We start from the raw sequence: 10,077 nt of genomic DNA on the forward strand, positions 1-10,077 counted from the left end.
ACTTATAATCAATGTAATTATTGAAATGTTTGGTTTAAATCTACTCTCTTGCTATTCTGAAAATTGTTAAATCCATTAAAACATTTCTTTTTTTTTCTTTTTTAGTCTTCTTTTGGATTAGTGGACTTAACATACATAAACAAATATATATATGTATATATGTGTGTATATGTGTGTATATAAGTGTATTATATATGTGTATATATTAAATATATATGTGTGTATATATATACACACACACATACACTTATTTACATATATACACATATATATGTAAAATTCCATTTTTTCTCCCTGTTGGATTATTAGACTTCCTCTTTGTATTACTTTTTAAAGTGATTGTTCTAAGACATATAATATATGTCTTAAACATATCCCAACCTGCCTTCAAATAACATTATACCATTTCATGTGTTGTGTTAAGATCATACTTACAACGCACACTTCAATATCATTTCATGCTGTGCTTTATGTTTTGTGTTATTTCCAATGTGTTATAAATCATATAATAAATTGTTATTCATTTTGTTTTAAGCAATTATATTTTAAAGAGGTTAAAAAATAAGAAAAAATATTTACTGACATACTTAATTATCTTTAGTGTTTTTAATTCTAAATTTCCATTTGATATAACTTTTCTTTTTTCTGAGGAATTTCCCATAACATTTCTTATTGAGCAAATATTCTGATAAAGTTTGTATGAAGAATTCTTGATTTTATATTCATTTTGAAAGATATTTTCTCTGAGTGTAGTGTTCTAGGTTAATAGTTTTCTTTTTTCTTTCCCCTCAATAAGTAAAAATGTTGCTTCTTTGTTTTCGGGCTTGCATAGTTTCTGATGAGAAGTATGCTATCATTCTTATCTTTGTTCTTGTGTATGCAATGTCTATAATATTCTGTATATAATGTTATGGCTGCTTTAATAATTTTCTATTTGTTGTTGGTTTTCAGCAATATGATTTTATTTTTTATTTATTTATTTTGCTTGGGGTTCTTTTAGGTTCTTAGATTTGTGGGTTTTCAAACTGGGAAAAATTTTGGCCATTATTTCTTTAAAGATATTTTTTTCTGTCCTTCTTTCCACTCCCTTCCCCCCACTGTCCTGCAACCCAAGTCCTGGGACCCTTTTATGTGTGTGTTCAACTCCTTGATATTATCCTAGAGGTCACTGATCCTCTGTTCATTTTTTCTTCTTTCTATTCTTTATCTAGGGTACTATCTATTGCCATGTCTACCTGTTTACTGATCTGTTTTTCCCAAAATTATCATCTGATATTAATCTCATTCAGTATATTTTTCAGTTCAGGTATTGTATTTTTTCATCTTTAGAATTTCAATTTGGGTCTTTTCAAAATTTTCCAGTTCTTTTTTCATTATGTTTATTTCATTCTTTGTCATCTTGAACATATGCTAGGTATTTAGAATGGCTGTTTTAATGTCCTTGCCTGCTAATTAGATAATGTGTGTTATCTCTGTTTCTTTCTATTGACTGGTTTTCTCCTGCTAATTCATCATATCTTCCTACTTCTTTGCATGCTTAGTAATTTTTAATTGAATATTGTAAATTTTATGTTTTTGGCTGGTGCATTTTGTTTATTCCTTTACATAGTATGGCCCTTTGCCAGATATTTAATTAGGTTGCTTGGAATTAGTTGCATGCTTTGGAGGCTTGCTTTGTTTACAGCAGGTACAAGGCAGCCTTCAATCTAGCTGGTTTAGTCCCATAAATAAGGCAATACTTGCCTGAAGACTTCAGGGAATAACTTTTGTATTACAGTGACATTCACCTTGGCTGCTGGGAAAATGCACTCCTTCCAGCCATGTGTAAGATCTGGGAATTTTTCAGCCTGTGACTTTCTGGCGATTTGCTTCCCAGTCTTAGTTTCTCCTCACACATGAACAGATCAATACTCAACTAAAAAAGTGAGAGACCTCTCTGTAGAACTCCAGAACTTTTTCTCGGTCATAACTCTTCTCTCTAGTAGTCTGCTATGCAAAATCTTGCAGGCTTGGCCTTCCTCAACTCCGTACTTTCTCTTCTCAACTCAGCAAATCTGGAGGCTTTCCTTGAGTTCCCTCTCCCAGCTGTATAACCTGGAACCTGCCTCCCTGTAATACGCTGACACAATTGCTCAGCACTCATCTTGTTTGTTTTCCTTTCTTCAAGAATCACTGTTTCATGCTACATGTTATCCAATATCTGAAAACTATTTTTCATATATTTTACTTGTTTTTCTAATTGTTTAATATGGGAGCATATATTCTGTCTGTGTTACTCCATCATGGCAAAAAGCAGACTGCCTTCTCTCTTTTATATTTTCTCTAGGAATGAAATTCTGGGTTGACAGTTCCTTTTTTTTTTTTTGTCACTTTCAAAATGTCATGTCATCTGGCATGCAAAGTTTCTGATGAAAAAGTTTGCTATACGTCTTATCTTTGATACTCTGTACATAGTCCCACTCCTCAACCACCTGCTGCCTTTAAGATTTTCTCTTTATCTTTTTGTTGTTGTTGTTGTTTGTTTGTTTGTTTTCTTTTTAGAGACAGAGTCTCGCTCTGTCACCCAGGCTGGAGTGCAATGGCACTATCTCGGCTCACTGCAACCTCTGCCTCTCAGATTCAAGCGATTCTTCTGCCTCAGCCTCCTAAGTAGCTGGGACTACAGGCATGCACCACTGTGCCTGGCTAATTTTTGTATTTTTAATAGAGACGGGGTTTCACCATGTTGGCCAGGTTGGTCTTGAACTCCTAACCTCAAATGATCTGACCACCTCGATACCTCCCAAAGTGCTGTGATTACAGGCGTGAGCCACTGTGCCTGGCCAAGGTTTTTTAGCAGTTTGAATTTGATATGTTCAGGTGAGTTTTTTTTAGGGGGAAGGGGAGTGGTAGAAAAATTTATCCTGCTTGGGTTTCTTAAGATGTGGTTTGATGTCTTTTTATCATTTTTTGAAAATTCTCAGCCATCTTTTCGAACATTTACTCTATTTTTTCTCTCTTCTCCTGAGATTCCAATTACACATAGGTTCATTCAGACATACATGGACTCAGAATGCCTTAGAAAGGAAGCCCATTTCTAAAATATGCTACCATATTTATAGAGAAACAAGGGCAGGAAGCATCTAAGTGACCATGAAACAATGGGACCTTCCTTGTTGAATAAATGGCCTTGCTTCCTTGATGGAAGCTGTTGTCCTGTCCTGCAGGCCTCTTGGCAGAGCTGCATCCAGCCTCACCCTTTTGGCAGACACCCTAGTTCATGGGCCAGTATGATGCCTGCTCAACACCAGTAGCCATTGTTAAGGTCTCAGGGACCAAGCTGTACCATAGGAGGGTCTTTGGCCCACTGACTGAAATTAGCCCATTTTTTCAGTAAGTAAACACAAATTTGCTGGGTCAGTAGCTTTGCTAAGCTACTGAAAGAAGGAAGGGAATACATGCCTCAGGTTATCTGAGTTTGCCTTTTCTCTTGTACTACCATACCATTTTAACAATTTATGCATCTTAAAGAACATTTCATTTAGCTCATATATTATTATCTCATTGTTTGTCAAAGCTACATTATAGACTTTTGAATAGATGTAAGCTAATTTATTTAATCTTTAAAATTAATAAACATAAATACTGATGAGCATTTAGAATGTTTCTAATTTATTGCTATTACAACCAATGCCTCAGTTAACATATTGAGCCTACACTTTAATGTGAATAATTAGGGGCTTTTTTGGTTATTGCTTTTAATTTTTCTTTTTGCAGACCTCAGCTGTATTGGAATGAATCAATCATGCTCCTTAATTATTAAGGCCATATAGTTATTATCCTTGTGGCACCTCTCCTTAATTTTTTAAAAGATTATATTATTGTTTTTTACTTATCATTCTCACCACAGACATCCACTCTCTTGTATATGATGTAATTACTTTCTAGCCATCTTTTTTTCATTTCCATATATGTATATCTCCAAGCATGTAATGCTGTTTAGAGTAATTTTTATTTATATTAATTTAATTATGCTATCAGTTTTTTAAAAGACTTTTTTTCATGCACACTATATTTTTGAAGCCATTTGATGTTACTCTATGTAGATCCAGCTCATGTATTTTGACCATTCCACAGAATTCAAACATATACAAGTACAGCAGCAGGAAAATTCATGGCAGTACAAAACCTGAATCAAAACGTACCTACATTTCCAATTTGAATAGATTGAGCCAAGGTAGTTTGAAAATGGTTGTACTAACTTAAAATTACAGCAGCAGTGGGTCCCTATTTCCTCACATCTTTTCCAAAGTAAGGATTATCAAATGTTTTCTGCACAAAAATGATATTTTGTTGTCCTTTCAACTTATATTTACTTAACTATCAATTTTTGTGAACATGTTTTTCTTTGTTTGCTGGCAATTTGTATTTCTTTTATTGTAAATTTCCTGTTCCAACATATAGCCTTCCAATGTCTTCAGCTTGGCAGTATTTTTAGAATTTCAAACTTGAAACTTGGGTGATGGTGAAATCTAAGGTCATCAGTGGATACGGATGATTTATCTATTTAAGACAAACTGCAATGATATTGAGCAAATTAAAAGCTTATGTGCATCATGGTTCCTGGGGCCAATAGAGTAATCATTTGGAATTCTGTGTTATAAAACTGTAGGCTATGAGCATGAAATTAACTTAACCAACATGTTCAACCAAAAGTCGTTTAGGGACAATTTTAGTTTAACTGTGATGCAGGATGGCAGCTTCCCCTAGTTTCAAAACTCACAGCCATGCCCACTTCCTGTTCATCAGGCATATGTAATTTGTCTTGGAGCTTTGTGGAGAGCTAGACGTATGACATGTCAGGACACATCTGATACATTAGAAGGATTTCTCTTCGCTTCTCCCCTCCCTCTTTCCTTCTAGACTTCTTTCCTTTATTGGAGACAGAATACATCTCCTCACAAAACAGGCCTCAGATCTCCATCCCTTTTGTCAGTTTTCGTTGACTAGTCTTAATGTTCCGTTAGGGCTCCACCTCCTTCTCTGACAACTCGGCATTTGCCTGATGTGACATCTTCAAGAGTCTTTAAGACAGGCGAAGGAGGTGAAAGAGAGGGCAGTGTGGGGGGAGACATGAGAGAGGCCAGGCCTATCAGTGTCACAAAGCATCTGTCAAGAAGAGATTGAATTAGTCCCTGGTCCTTGATGGAAGCTGCTGTCTTGTCCTTCAGGCCTTTTGGCAGAGCTGCATCTAGCCTCACCCTCTCTGGAAGACATGCTGGGTCATGGAAGCCAGCACAATGCCTCCTCAACACCAGTAGCCATTGCTAGGGTCTCAGGGACCAAGCTATACCATAGGAGGGCCCTTTTTCTGCTGAGTACCTGGATGGATTCGAGGTGCAAGTTTGGAGCAGAGCTGGGAATCCTGGAGGGAGAGAAAAGGTCATGAGTCTGGGGTCTGCTCAGGATCAGGCAAAGGGAAAAATGCTCTTTGACAGCATGGCTCTTTTTAGAAGGGAATGTGTAATAAAATTTGAAGTTAGCAATTGTGTGCCAGGCAAGGTAAATCTCTTTCTCCCTCTTTCTATCGAATCCTAGGTAAAGTGACAACACTAAAGAGTATTTGTGCATGGGGGAGGCTGTGCAGGAACAATAATGAGCCTAGTATGTGCACCTAGTGTGTGCTAGTGAGAGGTGACAGTGTGCTGGCAGCCCTCACAGCCCTCACAGCCCTCGCTCGCTCTCCCCGCCTCCTTGGCCTCAGCGCCCACTCTGGCCGCACTTGAGGAGCCCTTCAGCCTGCCACTGTATTGTGGGAGCCCCTTCCTGGGATGGCCGAGGCTGGAGCCAGCTCCCTCAGCCTGTGGGGAGGTGTGGAGGGAGAGGCATGGGCAGGAACCAGGCTGCGCAGCGCTTGCAAGCCAGCTAGGGTTCCGGGTGGCTGTAGGCTCAGCGGGCCCTGCACTGGGAGCAGCCAGCCGGCGCCGCTGGCCCTGGGCAGTGAGGGGCTTAGCACCCGGGCCAGCAGCTGCGGAGGGTGCGCCGGATCCCCCAGCAGTGCTGGCCCACCAGCGCTGCACTCGAATTCTTGCCGGGCCTCAGCTGCCTCCCCACAGGGCAGGGCTCGGGACCTGCGGCCTGCCATGCCCGAGCCTCCCCCCGCCTCCGTGGGCTCCTGCGTGGCCTGAGCCTCCCTGACAAGCACCTCCCCCTGCTCCATGGCACCTGGTCCCATCACCGCCCAAGGGCTGAGAAGAGTGGGCACACGGCGTGGGACTGGCAGGCAGCTCTGCCTGCAGCCTCAGTGCAGGATCCACTGGGTGAAGCCAGCTGGGCTCCTGAGTCTAGTGGGGACTTGGAGAACCTTTATGTCTAGCTAAGGGATTGTAAATACACCAATCAGCACTCTGTGTCTAGCTCAAGGTTTGTAAATGCACCAATCAGCACCCTGTGTCTAGCTCCAGGTTTGTAAATACACCAATCAGTGCTCTGTGTCTAGCTAATCTAGTGGGGACTTGGAGAACTTTTGTGTCTAGCTCAGGGATTGTAAACTCACCAATCAGCACCCTGTCAAAACGGACCAGTCAGCTCTCTGTAAAACAGACCAATAAGCTCTCTATAAAATGGACCAATCAGCAGGATGTGGGTGGTGCCAGATAAGGGAATAAAAGCAGGCTGCCCAAACCAGCAGTGGCAATCCTGAGTCCCTTTCCACAGTGTGGAAGTTTAGTTCTTTCACTCTTTGCAGTAAATCTTGCTGCTGCTCATGCTTTGGGTCCACACTGCTTTTATGAGCTGTAACACTGACGGCGAAGGTCTGCAGTTTCTCTCCTGAGGCCAGCAAGACCACAAACCTACCGGGAGGAATGAACAACTCTGGATGGGAGGAATGAACAACTCCAGATGCCCTGCCTTAACAGCTGTAACACTCACCGCGAAGGTCTGCAGCTTCACACCTGAAGCCAGCGAGACGATGAACCCACCAGCAGGAAGAAGCTCTGAACACATCCGAACATCAGAAGGAACAAACTCTGCACACGCCACCTTTAAGAACTGTAACAGTCACCGCGAGTGACTGTGGCTTTGTTCTTGAAGTCAGTGAGACCAAGAACCCACCAATTCTGGACACACTAGGAAGAATACATTTCATGGATAATGTTTATTGTACAATACTTCCATAAAATATTTTTGTCTCTAATTTATTTCACAATCATATTTTTATGTTATGATATAATACTATTGCAAAGACCTGTAATCCCAGCACTTTGGGAGGCTGAGATGGGCGGATCACGAGGTCAGGAGATCGAGACCATCCTGGATAACGTGATGAAACCCCGTCTCTACTAAAAATACAAAAAAATAGCTGGGCGTGGTGGCAGGCGCCTGTAGTCCCAGTTACTCGGGAGACTGAGGCAGGAGAATGGCATGAACCCAGGAGGTAGAGTTTGCAGTGAGCGAACTCAAAAAAAAAAAAAATTGCAAAGACCTCATAAACTGTTTTCTCTGTTCCAGCCAAGACTGATATGTTTTGCAAAAAATAGTCACCTATTTAAATTAGCTAAGGAAAGGTGGTGTCTCAGTAGGTTATGAGGGAGTGTCATGGAAAATAAAAGCAGGAAATTGGGTTTTGTCTCATGGGAAGTGGAGAGTCACTGGGCCACACCCTTCTTTCTCTCTATCCCTGGGCTATATGTCCTCCCTGCAAATCTGCTCTCTCCTCCAGCCTGTCTCTGAAAATGAGTTTCCACTGCCAACTTTCCAGATTGCACATGGATAAAACAGACCTCAAGCCCCAGGCTGGCAGCTGCAGGCTTACTAATCTCACTGGAGATTTTGTATCTCCTAGTTTCAAGATTAATCAGAGAATCTGATAGGCTCATCAAAGATCAGGTGGCCACATCCCATCTAGTCATCTGTGGCCAGGAGAGGGCACCCTTGGAAGAGCAGAGCTTCAGCAGGCACTGAGGTGGTGTCTGCTCTGGTGTCTGCTACAAGACCCATCTGACAGTTGAGAAAACAGAGGTTCGGAAATGGAAATGCTTTGACTCCAAGGCACAGGTAATAAAGTAACTAACCAAGGACACTAATGGAGGGGACCAGTAGTAAAGATTTGGTGGAGATGAAAATACATACATCTGTTATATGTCAATTAAAAAATAAGATTGAGAAGCAGCTGCAGTCCGTGGCACTCACAAAGAGAAACAAAAGGGGCAAGTGAATACAGCACCATCAACTGAAATATTCAGGTAGTCACATTGGGACTGATCAGGGAAACAACTCAACTCATGAAGAACAACCCATGGGTGATGGCCCACCTGGAAGCCATATGGAGCCAAGGAAACCCCCACCCCAGCCAAGGGAAGTGGTGAATGAATGTGTGACCCCAGGAAACCATGCTTTTCCCATGAATCTTTGCAACCCATGGATCAGGAGATCCCCTCATGAGCCCATGCCACCAGGGTCTTGGGGCCAACACACAGAGCTGTGTAGAGTCTTGGCAGAGCAGCTGCTTGGGCATACACAGAGACCGAGGAGCTTTACATACTCTGGCCCCAGGATCCCTAACAAACGTGTTTGCAACTCAGGCAGGGCAGGAGGTCCACACAAACCCCTAGGAAGAGGGTGGAATCCAGAAAGCCAAGCAATGTCATTCTGTGGGTCCTCCTTCCATGGCACCTCACAAGATAAGACCTACTGACTTGGAATTCCACCCAGCCAATGGCAACAGGGTGAAGCCTGCCTGAGATGGGCCGGAGCCCCTCTGGGGAGGGGCAGGCACCATTTCTACTGCTAGGTTGACTCAGCTGTTCCAGCCTGTGGGCTTTGGAGAGTCCAAACAGTCTGGAGGAGGAAGGGTCCCCCCAGCAGTGCATCACAGTGGCTTTCCCAGATTGTGACCAGACTGCTTCTTTAAGCAGAGCCCCTGATCCATTTCTCCTCACTGGGCAGGACCTCCCGGGCAGGACCTCCAGCTGCTTCTGCCCACACTTATTAGGGACAGAGCTCTGCTCTCTCTCTGGGAGAGGAGAGGGCCACCACCTGGGTTGATTGGATGACTCGGCTGTTCCAGACTGTGGGCTCTGGAGACTCCAAGCCAGCAGGGGCAGAGGCGACTGTTTTGGGGAGGTGTGGCAGACTGCTTTTTAAAGCAGGACGCTGATCTACTTCTCCTCCTGGGGCGGGTCCTCCCATCTGGGTCCTCCCAGCCAGGGCCTATGGCCACCCTGCCCATGCTCTACAGGGCCGATAGAGCTCTAATTACTCCTGGGATGAGTGCCTGAGGGGCAGGTGAGGGAGCAACCTTGGTGGGGCTTCTCAGCCAGTCTAGCCTGTGGGCCTTGGGGAGCCCAAACTGATTGGGGACTGAAGGGATCCCCAATACAGCACAGCTTCTCTGCCAAAAAGTAGCCATACTGCTAATTCAAGTGGGTCCCTGATCCCATTCCTCTCGACGCAGTGAGACTTCCCAACCAGGGTCCCCAGCCATCTCATACAAGTGTGTTCAGGCCAGCAATAAGTCAGTACACCAATGGCATGGAGCTTCTAGAAGAAGGGGCAGGCTGCCATCTTTGCTGCTTTGCAGCATTCATGCATGATACCTCCAGGTACAGGAAGAAGCAAGGCAGCTAGGATCTGGAGCAGATCCTCAGCAAGCTGCAGCAGCCCTAGGGAGAGTGGCCAGACTACTAAAAGAAGAACAAACAAGCAGAAAACAACAGCAACAACAAAACCACAAAATCCCCATCCAAAGGTCAGTAATCTCAAAGAACGAAGGTAGATAAGCCCACAAAGATGGGAATCAATGCAAACATGCTGAAAACTCAAAAATCCAGAGTGCCCCTTTTCCTCCAAATGACAGCAGTGTCTCTCCAGCAAGGTCTCAGAACTGGGCTGAGGCTGAGATGGCTGAAATGACAGAAGTTGGCTTCAGAATGTGGATAATAATGAATTTTGCTGAGCTAAAGGAGCATGTTGTAGCCCAATGCAAAGAAACTAAGAATTAGATAAAACAATACAGGAGCTGAAAACCAAAATAACAGTTTAGAGAGGAACACAGTCGACCTGTTAGAGCTGAAAAACACACTATAAAAACTTCAC

At 43.0% G+C, this 10,077-nt stretch overlaps 2 annotated features.

The window, feature by feature from the left end:
- Positions 5,457-5,958: an enhancer, noted in NCBI's record as "H3K27ac-H3K4me1 hESC enhancer chr5:174328123-174328624 (GRCh37/hg19 assembly coordinates)". NCBI's record gives its function as "activates a minimal SCP1, AML or CMV promoter by ChIP-STARR-seq in primed H9 embryonic stem cells {active_cell/tissue: H9 hESC(primed)}" and the evidence as "EXISTENCE:reporter gene assay evidence [ECO:0000049][PMID:30033119]".
- Positions 5,959-6,458: an enhancer, noted in NCBI's record as "H3K27ac-H3K4me1 hESC enhancer chr5:174328625-174329124 (GRCh37/hg19 assembly coordinates)". NCBI's record gives its function as "activates a minimal SCP1, AML or CMV promoter by ChIP-STARR-seq in primed H9 embryonic stem cells {active_cell/tissue: H9 hESC(primed)}" and the evidence as "EXISTENCE:reporter gene assay evidence [ECO:0000049][PMID:30033119]".

Source organism: Homo sapiens, chromosome 5, assembly GCF_000001405.40.
Source record: "Homo sapiens chromosome 5, GRCh38.p14 Primary Assembly".
NCBI lineage: Eukaryota > Metazoa > Chordata > Mammalia > Primates > Hominidae > Homo > Homo sapiens.